Source organism: Homo sapiens, chromosome 4 (genome assembly GCF_000001405.40).
Source record: "Homo sapiens chromosome 4, GRCh38.p14 Primary Assembly".
Classification (NCBI taxonomy): Eukaryota; Metazoa; Chordata; class Mammalia; order Primates; family Hominidae; genus Homo; species Homo sapiens.
In genome coordinates this window covers 53,961,452-53,979,054 of record NC_000004.12, presented here as the reverse complement: position 1 = coordinate 53,979,054, position 17,603 = coordinate 53,961,452, and the positions used below count along the sequence as shown (strand labels likewise).

General features: G+C 41.0%; 2 annotated features.

The window, feature by feature from the left end:
* Nucleotides 15,806–16,333: an enhancer, noted in NCBI's record as "H3K4me1 hESC enhancer chr4:54828889-54829416 (GRCh37/hg19 assembly coordinates)". NCBI's record gives its function as "activates a minimal SCP1, AML or CMV promoter by ChIP-STARR-seq in primed H9 embryonic stem cells {active_cell/tissue: H9 hESC(primed)}" and the evidence as "EXISTENCE:reporter gene assay evidence [ECO:0000049][PMID:30033119]".
* Nucleotides 16,334–16,862: an enhancer, noted in NCBI's record as "H3K4me1 hESC enhancer chr4:54828360-54828888 (GRCh37/hg19 assembly coordinates)". NCBI's record gives its function as "activates a minimal SCP1, AML or CMV promoter by ChIP-STARR-seq in primed H9 embryonic stem cells {active_cell/tissue: H9 hESC(primed)}" and the evidence as "EXISTENCE:reporter gene assay evidence [ECO:0000049][PMID:30033119]".

Here is a 17,603-nt window from a genome sequence, read left to right as displayed (position 1 = left end):
GAAACCTTGGAGGTGAGATAAATTACAAGAAGGTCAGGCTAACTTAATACAACTTAATACAAAGTTAAAAGGAAAGGGCTTTTAAAAAGCTGCATTGTGTAATTAAATTCAAATTTATTTTTATAGTGGCTGTTTCCTGGTAGATGTTAAGCCACAACTTGTTTTGATGACTAGATGAGGTTGATTTTTAATTTTATGCATAATATAATTTGCATTTAGTGTGCTTACAAAATGCTGAAAAAAAAGTGTCCTTGAAGTAGATTAGGTACATCTGCTTTTGGTTGCTCTATTAGTTATCTCAGCAAATTATTTCTTTGTAGATGCAGCAAAGGTAAATGTCAGCAAAGCTTTGTCCAATTATCACATATTCCTCAGGGAAGCTTTCCACTATGGAATTCACTTTCTAAAAGTAAGCACAATTGTAAAAGATGGAGCAAAATCTCAAATACTAAGAAATAGGATGTTTTGCATATCTCAAATTACCATTGCCACTTGAATTAATGACTTGTTCTTCAAATTATTTTACACAATGGCTTTTCTCTTTCAGGATGTTCTCTTACCACCCTTTCCTTCCTTTTTGCCTGGCTAACTGTTATTTATTCTTTAATATCCACCTTAGGTGATAACTTCTTAGGGAAGCCTTTCCTGTTCCCACCCCAATCCCATTCCCAAAACAAGAGTGGGTGCCTTCCTAAATGCTCAGAGGAATACTGTGTTCCCCCATTGTAGTAGCCATACCTGTAGTGCCCAACAGCTTGTCTCCATCTCTCACTGGGCCATCTCGAGGGGAGGGACCCTGTCTGTCTCACACCACATTGCTTCTCTGGATCCTATCTGTGTTAGACTAATTAAAGATGAAGTTTATCATTCCAGAAGTAGGCCTTTGCACTGCAAACCCAGGACTGGGTAAAACAAAGCAAGCTCTCATCCCTCTCCTTGTGAGGTCTAGAAGAAAAGGAAAAAGGTAGATTCTTGGCAGGAGAGAGAAGTTAAGAATGATAGTTTCTCGGACCGGGTGTGGTGGCTCACACCTGTAATCCCAGCACTTTGGGAGGCCGAGGCAGGCAGATCACCTAAGGTCAGTCAGGAGTTTGAGACCAGCCTGGGCAACATGGTGAAACCTCGTCTCTACTGAAAATACAAAAATTAGCCAGGTGTGATGGTTGGCACCTGTAATTCCAGCTACTCAGGAGACTGAAGCAGGAGAATCACTTGAACCCTTGTGGTGGAGGTTTTGAGCTGAGATCGCGCCATTGCACTCCAGCCTGGGCAACAAGAGCAAAACTCTGTCTCAAAAAAAAAAAAAAAAAAGAATGACAGTTTCTCACCATTCCAGGTACAGGCACGTGTGTTGATGTAGAGGAAGGTGGAGTGGTTCTTGTAGCTGATTGGTCCCTAGGGAAACTGAGTCCTTCATCTAGTCAGGGCTGAGACAGCACTTGTCTTAGAAGGACTTACCAGGTAAAAGGAGAAAAGGGATAAAAGATAAAGATTCTGTTTTCAAGGCATTCATTCGATAATACAATAAATATTCACAAGACACCTATGCCAAACAGTATGTGGTGGTATCTATCTGGAGAGCTCCAGGACATTCTCTTTCGAGGGGGGACTCCTGAAGCAAAGAATGTAGGGATTCAGATCAAATAAGTCACCTATCTAGCCCTATTTACAGAGTTACCTACAAGTATCATGTGTATCCCTGATCCTTTTTTTTTTGAGACAGAATCTTGCTCTGTCACCCAGGCTGGAATGCAGTGGCACGATCTCAGCTCACTGCAATCTCCGCCTCCCAGCTTCAAGCAATTCTCTTGCCTCAGCCTCCCAAGTAGCTGGGACTACAGGTGTGTTCCACCACACCTGGTTAATTTTTGTATTTTTAGTAGAGACGGGGTTTCACCATGTTAGCCAGGCTGGTCTTGAACTCCTGACCTCAGGCAATCTGCCCGCCTTGGCCTCCCAAAATGCTGGGATTACAGGCATGAGCCACTGCGCCCCACCAATGTATCTCTGATTCTTAGGAAAGGGGTTGGGCTGCCAAGGCATATACTTTTCAAGATTGATCATTCACCTATGTACAGATAACTAAACACTAACCATACTGTTACATTGCAAACGTAACACTGGTTCCCAAACTCAAACTGCTGCATTACAAACAAATTGTTTCAGTCAGCGTTATATATGAAGCTCAAAGAGTTCAGCTAATTAGTTCAGGGGGCTGTGAGGTGACTAGAGAAAGGACATCCCATTATAAAATGGTATTTTCTTACGTGATCCAAGCCCTCAGAAGAGGATGTCCTGAGGTTTCCTACCTAGATGCTACCACATAGTGGTTTGGCATTGATGCTTGGTAAATATTTGTTGTATTATTGAATGAATACTTTGAAAATTGAATCTTTATCTTTTATCTTTTCCTCCATTTAACATTGTTCCCTGGGTTAAACTGGCAAGTATGCAGGTCACTGATAAATGCACAGCTGAGACTCCCTCTTTGGCTGAAGAATCCAGCCATGATCCCCATCAGCTATGACTATTATTTATGTGAATGAGGAAGCAGTGAAATAGTTTCTTTGCAGAGTAGCCTACAGCCTTGCTACTCAAAGTGTGATCCTTTGGCAAGTAGCGTCAGTATCACCTTGGGAGCCTATTTGAAATGAAGCATCTCAGGTCCTACCCCAGACCACCTAAAGCAGAATGTGCATTTTAACAAAATCGTTAGATGTGTAAGCACAGTACAATTTAAGAAACAGTCTCCTAGAGACCCCAAGCAGGATCAGAACATGAACCCCCACATACAGATTACCAGGCAGACAGCTCAAAAAAGGACACCTAGGGCAATCTTGAAGGAGGACTGGAGCCCAAAGATAAGAAAGGTAAGATAGTCAGCCCAAGGGTGGTGAAGGTGTTGGAGGCACAGAAAAATCAGAAGTGACATATGGATTATACCAGGTCTAGAGCTAGAACTCTGAAAGGAACAAGCAGGACCAAAATCAGTTATGGACCACGAGTTAGTGTATGATGGATCATGGCTTTGGGCTCAGAAGAGTTTTAGAGCTAGACTTCCTTATAATTCAAATCTTAGCTCAGTTGTATATTGTTCCATAATAAACCATCCTGTAACTTACTGGGTCAAAACAATAACTCTTTATTTTCCATAATGTGTAGGCAATTTAGGCAGGGCTCAGCCTAGGATGGCTCACCTGGGCTCACTCATATGTCCACAGTTAGCTTGCAAATAGGCTGAAGGATGGTTGGTCCCACATAGCTTCACTTGCCTCATATGTCTGGTTTGGCTGCCACAGTGGGATAACTGGGCCTCTATCTCTGTAAAGTCTCTCTTCCTCAAGGAGGTGAGCCTAATTTTGTTCATGAGATAGCAGTGTTCAAAAGGCAAGAGCAGAAGCTACCAGCCTTCTTGAGGTCAAAGTTTGGAAGTCTTTTCTGCTACATTCTATCAGTTAAAGCTACTCACAAGGCCAGCCTGGTGGGATGAGCTTCAAAGAAGTGTGGACATCTGCCACTCTGTCATGTACTAATGCTTTGACCTGAAACAAGTTACTTAACCTTTCTGAACCTCAGTTTTCTCTTCCTTTAACATGTGACAATGATACCTTTTTCGTAGGATTATATGAGATAAATACTTCTAGTGACAAACATGTAATCAGCACATAATAAATGGTCATTATTATTAACACATAGCTGAAGTTTGTGTTTACTATATGTATTAGTCTGTTCTCATGCTGCTAGTAAAAATGTGTCTGAGACTGGCAATTTATAAAGAAAATAAATTTAATTGACTCACAGTTCCCCAGGGCTGGGGAGGCCTCAAGAAGCTTACAATCATGGCGGAAGGGGAAACAAACATAACCTTCTTCACATGATGGCAGCAGGAGAAGTGCCGAGTGAGGGTGGGGAAAAGCCCCTTATAAAAACATCAGATCTCATGAGAACTCACTCGCTATCACGAGAACTGCATGGAGATAACTGCCCCCATGATTCAATTACCTCACACTGGTCCCTCCCACAACACATGGGGATTATGGGAACCACAATTTAAGATGAGGTTTGAATGGGGACACAGCCAAACTGTAGCACTATCCCAGTGTTCTCTCTATATAGCCTTCTTTTCAAATCTGCATACAGAGTACTTTTCAAGTGACTAAAGCATTAGATTCTCACTGGCAGGTTTGAAAAGGATTAGGAAAAGGACCTGGTGTGTGTGTGTGTGTGTGTGTGTGTGTCTCAGAGAGAGAGAGAATACTTGTGAAAAAATGAGCTGAGAAATCAAAACCACAATAAGATACCATCTCACAGCATCAGAATGGCTATTACTATTTTTATTATTATTTTTCTGAGTCAGGGTCTTACTCTCTCACACAGGCTGGAGTGCAGTGGCGCAATCTGGGCTCACTGCAGAGAATAGCTATTATTAAAAAGTCAGATAATAACAGATGCTGGTAAGGCTGTGAAGAAAAGGGAACACTTATACGTTGTTAGTGGGAATGTAAATTAATTCAACCACTGTGGAAAGAAGTTTGAAGATTTCACAAAGAACTTGAAACAGAGCTACAATTCAACCCAGCAATCCCATTACTGGGAATATACCCCAAAGAAAACAAATCATTCTACCAAAAAGACACATGCACTTGTATGTTATTACAGCTCTATTCACAACAGTAAAGACATGGAATCAACCTAGGTGCCCATCAGAAGTGGACTAGATAAAGAAAATGTGGTACATATACACCGGGGAATACTATGCAGCCTTTAAGAAGGAAAAATAATGTCCTCTGAAGGAACATGGATGCAGCTGGAGGCCATAATCTCAAGTAAATTAATTCAGGAACAGAAAACCAAATACCTCCTGTTCTCACTTATAACTGGGAGCTAAATACTGGGTACTCATGGACATAAAGATGGGAACAATAGGCACTGTGGACTACTGGAGGGAAGGGAGGGAGGGGAGTGTGTGTTTGAAAACTACCTATTGGGTACTACACTTAGTACCTGGGTGATGGGATCTGTACCGCAAACCACAACATCATGCAATGTACCCATTTAATAAACTGCACTTACACCCCCTGTATCTAAAAGGTGAAATTACAAAATAAATAAATAAAACGGTTAATTTCATGTTATGTGAATTTTACACCAATAATTTTTTTAAATTAAAAATATAAGCTGAGGACCAATGATTGACAAAAGAGACAGAAGGACTTTAGTGAAGGGAAACAAGATGTTTGCTTGCATAATTCATAGAATCGAGGTGCCAAGTTGACCCTACAGTTCACGTACCATCAACTATGCAGTCTTGCTATTCAATGTGTGGTCTGAGGACCAACAGATCAGGGTTGCCACAGGATTGTTCATAAGGAAGAGTCTTGGGCCCCAGGTCAGACCTACTGCATCAGATTCTGCACTTGAATGAAATCTCAGTGGTACATATGTACATTACAGTTTGAGAGGCAGTCTTTAAAGGAGAGCCCCTTTCCACACCTCACTTGATCTATTGTGTCTGAACTTGGGTCAATCCCTTTGGGAACAATCAAAGAGACTTACGTGTGAGATGGACCTAATGGGAAAAGGAAGAGAACATGTGTCAACCGTCTCTCATGTTGTGAGACTGGCTGGGTCATGTGAAGGGGACCAGCTTGGTTTGAGGCCATCAGTTACAGCAATGATGAGAGATATGCAGAATTTTATAGGGTATCATTTAGATATTTGTGAGTCAGAATGCAAGAATAAGAAAAACATTCAGGATGGAATCAAGCATAAATATTCTTTATCCTAGCGAATAAAGTGGTAAGCAAACTGGTGCAGGGTCTGGGTTGCCGATAGACTGGTAAGGTTGTATCTTGAAACCAGGTAAAACCAGTGATGTCTAAAGGGCATGGACTTGGAGTCACTTTTGCTATGGCAACTATAAAAAGAGTTCACTGTGTTGCAGGTCATTACCATGGAGAGAATCAAATCTTATGCCTCAGCTAAAAACCTCTGGCCAATATGAATGCTTGTTCCACTAAAGTAGTGACTTCCTTTTGTTTGGGGTGGTGTAGCTATTTTCTTAATCTGTCTTTTAATTTTGTTAAGGTTTAAAGTAGAGCGGTAGAGAAGTAAATCAAATCTATAGGGTTAGCATTTTTGTGTAAAGTCAGGAAGAGATTTTTATGATTTTGAGGATAATATGTATTTGTTTGGTATTTCAAATATTAGTAAGGGAGGTTTTCACCTTTTAGGGAATTATCCCAATTTAAAGAGTCTAATTTGTAATTTTTAATTGAAAGGCATAAGGAGGCCTTTAAAAACCTTTTTACTAAGGCTCTAAACCATTACTATAGTTACATTTTGCTAGAGTCATATATTTGAGAACATTTTGTTTGATAGAAGCATTTGAAGTGCTAAAAAAGGTCTGTATATTAAGTATGTAAATGCAGTTTGAAATTTTTAACAGGATTTAATTAACTCAATATGTAAATGAAAGTGTTTGGGAAAGTTAGTTCCTGCAGCTTTAGTTGACAGAGCTTTAATTTCCTTGAAACTGATGGTTAAACTCTACTCAATTTATAAATGGAGTAATAAGGTTTCTATGTTGAACTTCAAGGTTTAAGAAAACTAGGTTTTAGAATTAAAATGTGTTCCTTTAATTAATTTTATATTAATTAAAAAACCCAATGTATCTGCAAATAGTCTTCATTATGCCCTGAAGTTTCCATTAAGGCCACCAAAAATTGATATTGACATAAACAATTCAAATTGTTATCAGTATCTAGCAAGTTTAGAGAGATTTTAAAGCAAAGAACATTTTTTTAAGTGTGGGACACACCTCTTGTGCTAACATTTTCAAAGGCATAATCTTCAGGTTATTCCTGAAATACTCCTGCATATGATCTGTAAATAACTGGCCAACAGTCTCCACAAGTGGCCTCGCAGTCACTACCACCACCTGCTTACCTCCCAGAAACCCATCACAGGCAGAAGGGACAAGCCACCTGATAAACCAACAGGCTGAAGTTCCTCCAGGATGTCTGCCGATCCATGTATCAATTAGAGTCCCAACAATTTGTTCACTTTCCCCTCTCCAAAAGAGCCCAAGTCTATATTACAAATTGCAAATGGTCTGGAAATTCTATTTTTAAAAAGATGCTCAGTTTTCTGAGGATTTATTTTCTTTGAAGCATGAGGCTTCTTTCCTGATGATGGGGAGCCAGCCAGACACCTGAATAGAAGGAAGACTCAGGCTTCCATAGGCTGCCAAAAACTACCTCTCTTTCAGACGGAGGATTTTGCTTCTCTTAGCTCTTCTGGGGTCCTAAAAGGAGAAAAAAAGATTCACCACCAACCCTTCCTATAGAAATTGCTTTGCCCCTGAGAGCAGGATAATCCAGCTGGCTTAATAATAGAAGTCCCTGTGGAACTAGTCTACTGATGCCCCACTGGGTACTTAATGCTGACAAGTCGGCCTCTTTCCTCACCTTTGTGAAGAATTTGAGCTAAGGAGAGAAGGAGGTTGTGGGTTTGTCATAAACAGCTCTTATTATTTTGAGATATGTCCCATCAATACCTAATTTATTGAGAGTTTTTAGCATGAAGGGTTGTTGAATTTTGTCAAAGGCCTTTTCTGCATCTTTGAGATAATCATGTGGTTTTTGTCTTTGGTTCTGTTTATATGCTGGATTACGTTTATTGATTTGTGTATGTTGAACCAGCCTTGCATCCCAGGGATGAAGCCCACTTGATCATGGTGGATAAGCTTTTTGATGTGCTGCTGGATTCAGTTTGCCAGTCTTTTACTGAGGATTTTTGCATTGATGTTCATCAGGGATATTGGTCTAAAATTCTCTTTTTTTGTTGTATCTCTGCCAGCCTTTGGTATCAGGATGATGCTGGCCTCATAAAATGAGTTAGGGAGGATTCCTTGTTTTTCTATTGATTGGAATAATTTCAGAAGGAATGGTAACAGCTCCTCCTTGTACCTCTGGTAGAATTCGGCTGTGAATCCGTCTGGTCCTGGACTCTTTTGGTTGGTAAGCTATTAATTATTGCCTCAATTTCAGAGCCTGTTATTGGTCTATTCAGAGATTCAACTTCTTCCTGGTTTAGTCTTGGGAGGGTGTATGTGTCCAGGAATTTATCCATTTCTTCTAGATTTTCTAGTTTATTTGCATAGAGGTGTTTATAGTATTCTCTGATGGTAGTTTGTATTTCTGTGGGATCGGTGGTGATATCCCCTTTATCATTTTTTTTTATTATTATACTTTAAGTTTTAGGGTACATGTGCACAATGTGCAGGTTAGTTACATATGTATACATGTGCCATGCTGGTGTGCTGCACCCACTAACTCGTCATCTAGCATTAGGTATATCTCCCAATGCTATCTCTCCCCCCCCCCTTTATCATTTTTTATTGCATCTATTTGATTCTTCTCTCTTTTCTTCTTTATTAGTCCTGCTAGCGATCTATCAATTTTGTTGATCTTTTCAAAAAACCAGCTACTGAATGGGCAAAAACTGGAAGCATTCCCTTTGAAAACTGGCACAAGACAGGGATGCCCTCTCTCACCACTCCTGTTCAACATAGTGTTGGAAGTTCTGGCCAGGGCAATGAGGCAGGAGAAGGAAATAAAGGGTATTCAATTGGGAAAAGAGGAAGCCAAATTGTCCCTGTTTGCAGATGACATGATTGTATATCTAGAAAACCCCATCATCTCCACCCAAAATCTCCTTAAGATGATAAACAAATTCAGCAAAGTCTCAGGATACAAAATCAAGGTGCAAAAATCACAAGCATTCTTATACACCAATAACAGACAAACAGAGAGCCAAATCATGAGTGAACTCCCATTCACAATTGCTTCAAAGAGAATAAAAGACCTAGGAATACAACTTACAAGGGATGTGAAGGACCTCTTAAGGGGAAATACAAACCACTGCTCAACGAAATAAAAGAGGACACAAACAAATGGAAGAACATTCCATGCTCATGGATAGCAAGAATCAGTATTGTGAAAATGGCCATACTGCCCAAGGTAATTTATAGATTCAATGCCATCCCCATCAAGCTACCAATGACTTTCTTCACAGAATTGGAAAAAACTACTTTAAAGCTCATATGGAACCAAAAAAGAGCCCGCATCGCCAAGTCAATCCTAAGCCAAAAGAACAAAGTTGGAGGCATCACGCTACCTGACTTCATACTATACTACAAGGCTACAGTAACCAAAACAGCATGGTACTGGTACCAAAACAGAGATATAGACCAATGGAACAGAACAGAGCCCTCAGAAATAATACCACACATCTACAACTACCTGATCTTTGACAAACCTGACAAAAACAAGAAATGGGGAAATGATTCCCTATTTAATAAATGGTGCTGGGAAAACTGGCTAGCCATATGTACAAAGCTGAAACTGGATCCCTTCCTTAACACCTTATACAAAAATTAATTCAAGATGGATTAAAGACTTACATGTTAGAGCTAAAACCATAAAAACCCTAGAAGAAAACCTAGGCAATACCATTCAGGACATAGGCATGGGCAAGGACTTCATGTCTGAAACACCAAAATCAATGGCAACAGAAGCCAAAATTGACAAATGGGATCTAATTAAACTAAAGAGCTTTTGCACAGCAAAAGAAACTATGATCAGAGTGAACAGGCAACCTACAGAATGGGAGAAAATTTTTGCAATCTACTCATCTGACAAAGGGCTAATTCCAGAATCTACAAAGAACTCAAACACATTTACAAGAAAAAAACAACCCCATCAAAAATTGGGCAAAGGATATGAATAGACACTTCTCAAAAGAAGACATTTATGCAGCCAACAGACACATGAAAAAATGCTCATCATCACTGGCCATCAGAGAAATGCAAATCAAAACCACAATGAGATACCATCTCACACCAGTTAGAATGGTGATCATTAAAAAGTCAGGAAACAACAGGTGCTGGAGAGGATGTGGAGAAATGGGAACACTTCTACACTGTTGGTGGGACTGCAAACTAGTTCAAGCATTGTGGAAGACAGTGTGGCGATTCCTCAGGGATCTAGAACTAGAAATACCATTTGACCCAGCCATCCCATTACTGGGTGTATACCCAAAGGATTATAAATAATGCTGCTGTAAAGACACATGCACACGTATGTTTATTGCAGCACTATTCACAATAGCAAAGATTTGGAACCAACCCAAATGTCCATCAATGATAGACTGGATTAAGAAAATGTGGCACATATACACCATGGAATACTATGCAGCCATAAAAAAGGATGAGTTCATGTCTTTTGTAGGGACATGGATGAAACTGGAAACCATTATTCTCAGCAAACTATCACAAGGACAAAAACCGAACACTGCATGTTCTCACTCATGGGTAGGAATTGAACAATGAGAACACTTGGACACAGGAAGGGGAATATCACACACCGGGGCCTGTTGTGGGGTTGGGGGAGTGGGGTGGGACAGCATTAGGAGATATACCTAATGTAAATGACGAGTTAATGGATGCAGCACACAAATATGGCACATGTATATATACGTAACAAACCTGCACGTTGTGCCCATGTACCCTAGAACTTAAAGTATAATAAATAAATTTAAAAAAAGAGAGAAGGAGGCTCATACAAAGAGCATGCTTCTTCTGAAAGGCAAGATCTTAAGGCTTTTGCTTCTAAATCAATGTGCCTGGTGCAAGGTTATGTTGTGGTCCCCTCCCCTTCTTTCTGATGACTTTCCTTCCTGCAGTTTGTCTTCTTCAGTATCTTGTCATATCGCAAAATACTGGGCTTTGTGTGTGCTTATTTATCTTCCTCCCACCTCAGAATGCTTCAGAGCAAAGCCTGGGTTGTGTTCATCCTTGTTTTCCCCTGTGGCTTCTTCCAGAGAAACTTGCATGTCATAAGTACTCAAAACATATTTGTGGAATGAACAAATGAATGAGCTGTCATAGCCACTGATCACACAGGAAGGTTTACAGAGAAGAACATGGAAGTGCTATGTTCTCAGTTTGCTTCAAGTTCTGAGTTGGTTTTTCTTTCCCCTACTTTAAATTTTAAATGTAGGGACCAGGCGCAGTGGCTCCTGCCTGTCATCCCAACACTTTGGGGGCCAAGGTGGGAGGATTACTTGAGCCCAGGAGTTAGAGACCAGCCTGGGCAACATGGAGAAAACCCATCTCTACAAAAAATGCAAAAATTAGCTGGGTATGGTGGAATGTGTGTGTGGTCCCAGCTACCCAAGAGGCTGAGGTGGGAGAATTGCTTGAGCCCGGGAGTTTGAGGCTGCAGGGAGCTGTGATTGTGCCACTGCACTCCACCTCTGGGTGACAGAGCAAAACCCTATCTCAAAACAAACAAACAAACAAACAAAACACAAACATTAAATGTAGGATTAACCATACCATCATGACTATGGTGTATTATTAAATATGTGCATATTTTATGTTTAAAATCTATTCTTAATTGTCTGCACTAATGGAGAGAGAATTACAAACATAATTGGAATAGGTCTTAGAAATTATCTAACTGGCAAATAACTATTATTATTAATGTCTATTGTTTTTAAGCATTTACTATATCCCAGGTCTTGTGCTAAGCACTGTATATACATTATTTCATTTAATGATGGAAACAACCTCATACAATAGATAGTATTATTATTCTACTTTACTGATAAAAAAATACCCCATGATATTATATAACTTACCTTGGGTGGCAGAGATAATTTAAATATTTGTATATCTGACTTTGATTACAGTAGATTTATCTTTCCAATAAATTTCATCCAAGCTAAAATGAAAATCATTTACATTTTTAGAAAATAGAAATTGATGATGGCAAGAAGTGGCCCAGAAGTGGTTGCAGCCAGTAGGAAATTAAAATTAGCTTCAAGTTATGCATTTGTCTTTTTAGAGAATGTTATTGAATACTTAGCATGTGTAACACACTGTTCTGGGTTATGTGGGTGGATATGGGAGGCATGAAATTATTTAGGACAAGGTTCCTTCCCGCAAAGAGCTAAACATCTAATAATGGGGTTATGCCCTGATTTCAAATAATAATAATACAAGATAGAGCATGTTGGCCCATGAGGAAGAAAACAGATGAAGTGTCCAGGTTCTGATAAGGGAAATATCACTTACAGTTGGAGGAATGAGGGGGTCTTCAGAGAAAAGGGCACGTAAGGGGCCTTGGAGTATGCAGAATCTGGTTTGGAGGTGATAGGGGCAGAGGATGAAGGGGAGCCCTTGTGACAGGGAGAAGAGCATCAGCATGTGCAAAGCCAGCCTGACACAGTCACCCAGCGCTTCAGCCACTCTCTTCCCAGCACCGCCACTTCTGACCCCACAGACAGGTTTTACAGCAGGAGTATAAGGCCAGCTGCCACACCTACACACTGATTTGTCTTTTCCTCCATCTCTGATCTCTCTCTGTCTCCTGGTTCTCTCCCAGTAGTTCATACACATGTTCAGGTTTTCTCCATCTAAAAAAAAAAAATTCCTTCCATAATTTTGTATCTCCTTGTGGATATTTGTTTTTTTCTATCACAGTCTTCAAAAGCAAGTCTCTGTTTGTGGTCTCCATGCTCTTATCCTCTATTCTCTCCTCATCCCAATGAAATTCAGCTCTTTTACTCAGTGCCCTTACTGTACCCTACCGGGCACCCCACCTCCCACCTCGTGCACCTCAAGAGAGAGAACCGCTTGCCAGGATGATCGATGACCTCCTCATTGCCAACTCCCATGGTCACGGACACGGCCTGGCTGGCAGGTGACGTGGCTGCTCACATTCTTTTTCATGAAAACCTGATTCTCCTCAGCTTCTGGCCTCCAGCTTGCTGTCCTTCGCTGGCTCTTTCTATGTACAAGTTTAGAGTGGTGTCTCTAACCTTGGTATTCAGCCTGTGTTTAGTCTCAGTGCACACTCAGTCCTCGAGTGAATTTACTGAATCTGGTGGACTCAACCACTATCTCTGTTCAGATAAGTACAAGAGAGCTCTAACAAGGACTCCCAAATCTGTGCTTCCTGAACTCCCTTTATGCACCAGGTCTCTGGTGCCTGAATGCTCATACTGTTTTCTGAGCTACCGGACCAGACATCTCCACCTACACAGGCCACAGTTCCTCAAACTTATCATGCTCAAATGGAGCAGATCCACTCTTCCCTCATTCCTTAATCTAAATTTCTACTGAGTTCCTCATCTATATTAGTGGTGCCATTCTTCACCCATATGTCCAAGGAGAAAAATCTAGAACCTCTTCTCTATATCCCTTTGGCGTCTTGTTAAAGCTATGTCTCAAAGCTCTCTGGGAACTGTTCTTTCTTCTCCACTCTTACTGCTAACCCACCTGAGCATCTCCTACTTGGACTATCCTGAGTCTCCTATATCTTCCCATCGTCTGCATCTTTTCCTTCAAATTCATCTTCCCCTGTGCCGTAGGAGTAAATTTCCCAGTCATCACGAAGCTATATTACTCTGCTGCTTATGATGCTCCATCACATTGGGGGCAAAGACCACACCCCTTAAAAGGACATTTAAGGCCCTGGGTGCTGGCTCAGCCTCCCCTCCCTTCATTCACCCATAGCCACCCAAGTTCTAGTCACACCCGACTACTTAACAGTTCCCCTCTCAAGCCTTTTGCGTGCCCTTTTTGTGGTTCTTTCTGGCTGGGATGTCCTTGACTCCTGCCCACCTGAAAAACTAATACTGCCCTTGAAAACTAAGACATTCCTGACATCTCCAAGAAGAGTTGGTGATCTCCGACTGTGAGGAGCCCCTACAGGGTCAGACTTGGACTCATTTTTTAATATCTAGGGTTGGTACAGAGAGGCCTTAGTAGATGTTGTCTTAGTTTGAGCTGCTATGACAAATTACCACAGACTGGCTGGCTGAAACAGCAAACACTTGTTTCTCACTCTACAGTTTTGGATGCTTGGAAGGATCTGAATCTGGATCCTTCCCAGCCTCAAGAGGTCCAAGATCAAGGGACAGACTGATCCGGGGTCTGGTGAGGGCCTCCTTCATGGTTTGCAGATGGCTATTTCTCTTTGTATCCTCACATAGTGGAGAGGAGAGAATGAGAGAGAAAGGAAAAGAGAGAGAGAGAACCCTCGTGTGTCTCTTCTTTTAAGAGCACTAATCCTATTCAAGAGGGCTCTAACCTAATCACCTCCAAAGTCCCCACCTCCTAATACCATAGCATTGGGAGTTAAGATTTCAACCTATGAATCTTATGGATACACACAATCAGTCCATAACAGATGCTACAGGAAAATGAAGAGTTAACAGTCTCAAGCTTCTACCCTAATGCTTTAAGGATTTAAGCAGCAAGGCTCCAAGAGGAGTTTTGTTTTTAATTAATTCAAAGAATCATCTGATAAAGTACATGATCAGTGATAGTAAAGGGTGGTTTTCACAGGATCTTAAACTTTTTCTCTCGTCAGGTTCCTTACTGGAGTTTGGCACGAGGGAAGTGAATTCACTCTGGGTGGGAACAAAAAAGCCATTTAGGAGCCCTGCCATCCCCCCTGCAGCCTCTCTGATCTCTGATAGCAGCTCAAGGAGTTGGCTGCCCCCAACTGTCCCCTCTACCTCCTAATATTAGAAATGAAGCTGAGATGGAAATTATTTCCTTTTTTGAAATCTCACTTCTGTAGGTGATCTGCCACCTTGCAAAGAGCTCTCTATTGTTACACAACATCATTAATGAGAGCAGCCTTGTGGAGGATTAAACTGTTATCGATCTTTCATTTTTAAGAACGCTTTAGATTTGCAACATAGAATAGTAAGTTTGCGACATTATAGAAACCAAATAAAAGATTAGTGTGATTAAATGAAAACCACCACCAATTAATTTAATCTAGACTAAAAACTGCAAAATGGTTACTAATACTTCTCATAATTACAGTATCATTAAGGTGCCTTTTTGGGTTGTTTTTGTTTCTTTGTAAATGGGATTTAAGTAACATACCCTATGAAATAATAAATCTAACTGCGTGACTACCAGGTGCAAGAATTCTATTTGTGTGGCATGAACAGGGCTGTTAATCCCTCACTCGTTCTTTTCTGTTTGGCAGCTAAACATTTCCTGGTGTGCCCTGTAATAACAGGCAGCTGTCCTGTCAGCTTCACTGAAAAATGAGATAATAAGGCAGGCAAATGATGTCCTTTATGTCCCGAATCTACTACTTCCTGCAGTTTTCTTCTCAAATGCTTTAAGTAACAAGGATCTGTGCAATTTTCACACTGTTTCTTCTTCTCAAAAAGTTTGTCCAAATTCTTGGTGAATGTCATTTCCCTTTGGGACATTTGGTGGAAAAAAAGGCAGCCTGCTTCATTGCACCAGGACAGAAGGCATCCAAAAAGCCTCTGAATAGGGTTTGTAAATGAAAATCCCCCCTCAAAAGCAACTGAGGTGATCGGAACTGTAGCTAGGGCCTGGAGGGATGGGTTTGGCTCCCATAGAAGACAACCGTTGTGGACCTTTCTGTTGTGCCACTGGAATAACTGGCCCTTTTTTCAGAAGCTGCAGTAAGAGCAACAATATCCGGCAAGTCTTGAAAAAGGGCTGCCTGGCTGGGAAAATGGCGCCAGGTGGGGAGGATCTTCTCAACCCTGAGAGCTTGGGGCAGTGTACAATGTGTGTAAGTTTGAGGGATCTTGAAGGTCACCTGTGTCTCTGCCACATTTTACCAAAAAAAGGAAGTTGAGATTCATGCCGGAGGGCAATCTTGGCTTGAACCCAGGCATCCCAATGACCGGTTTAGTGTTGATGCCTTTCCCTAAGAAAGGGGTGCATTTTACAATCTGTGCTAACTCAAGACTGATAACACAATAGATACCCCCTGCTTTAAATCCTGTTCCTAATGTTAAAGATGCTTAGTGTTCAGAGAACATACGTGATAGAAATGGATTTTTAAGGACTCATTCAAAAATCATTCATGAATCACTCAGTGGGCAGGGGTTAGAGAGACAAATAAGTCAATTGATTTTGCTGCTCAGAGTAGTGTCTCAGGAGGTGGTGATAACCAGAGAAACACATTCCAGACAGCCTAGACACGGGGGTGGTGTGTGTGTGTAGCAGGAGGGGCCTGCAGTCTGAATCAGTAAACTCCTCTTAAACAGCCCACGAGAAAAATACTTGCTTCACTTCATCAACTTAGTCTAACTATACAGACTCCACTTTTCCTTGGGAAGGAGGATCCTGCTTCTGTGACAAAGTTAGATTCTTCTTTCTCACCCTTTGCTGGGATTAGCCTTAAAAACAGATGCAGGACAAGGACTGCCCTGGGGGCTGGAGACACTGTGCCTGCTGTTTGCCACAGGCTCTGGGAGGCCTGTGCAGCCACCTGGGCTTAGAGAGTGAATCAGTGGCTGTCCTGAGCAGAGCTTTGTCTGGCCTGGCCCTGGGCAGGGTTCAGGCAGGTCTGCAGGGGAGGTGCCCTGCAGAGCTGCTCACAACCCTATCATAATTTAATAAAGAGCTGAAGAGAAAAGAGGAATTTTATAAAGGGTTGAAAAAATCGACTTTCCAGGCAATACTTTTGCCTCCCTCATCTTTTTAAGACTGCAGTCAAGGTAAGCTCTATGCAATATTGAGAGGCTATTGTGGTTTGGTAGCACTCTGCCCTACCCTTACTGTGGGAATAAAGCACCCTTTTATTCACTCACTACTTCCTTTCTCCATCCTTCTCCCCTTCCCCACCCAAAGTTTTCTTTCCTCTCTGTTCCTGTTCTCAGGAAAGAATTCTATACCTAATATTTGTTGAGCTCTAATGGCATGTTCAAGCACTGGTTCAATTGCTTTGCAAGTATTAACTCATTGAATCCTTATAACAACCCAATAAAGTGTTTCTATTGTTATCCAAAGTCACACAGCTGGCAAGTAGAAGGAATTAGGGTTCAAATCCAGGACATTTGGATTCAAAGTTTCTTTCTATAAGTCCTTTGGGAGTGGATGATCGATTTGTCCAAAAAAAAATGCTATCCAATACAGTAGTCACGAGTCACATGCAGCTATTGAAAGTCACATCTAAATTAATTAAAATTAAGCAAATTGTACAGTCAGTTGCTCAGTCACACTGATCACATTTCAAGTATCCAGCAACCACAAGTGGCTGCCAGCTACTGTATTGGACAGCACAGGTAAAGAACATCTCCAGCATCACACAAAGCCTGAATGGGCAACACTGCCCTAGACAATCCCTGACTTCTTATAATTTTACTCTGTTTAATAAAGGCCAAGAATGATAACAAAAACAAACAATAAAAACCTGTGATCTTCTAAAAGTATAGTAATGAAATGTAACTTTTGAAGATTTTTCAAGCAATATTTATAGACTGAAAAAAAGTTCTTCCTGGAAAGATGTTTCTAGTGTATCCAATGGGGGAAAAAAAACCCAAATACCACAGCAGTATGTAATGTGGAATAACATTTTTGTTAAAAACAACAACAACACACACACTCACACACATGCACACACAGAGAAACATCTAGAAGGACAACCACACATTGTTAACCATGGTTATACTTCTCGTGAAGTAGATGCCAGGGAAATGATGTGTAGCTAGGAGTAGATTTCCTTTTATGTTTGTTTAAATTT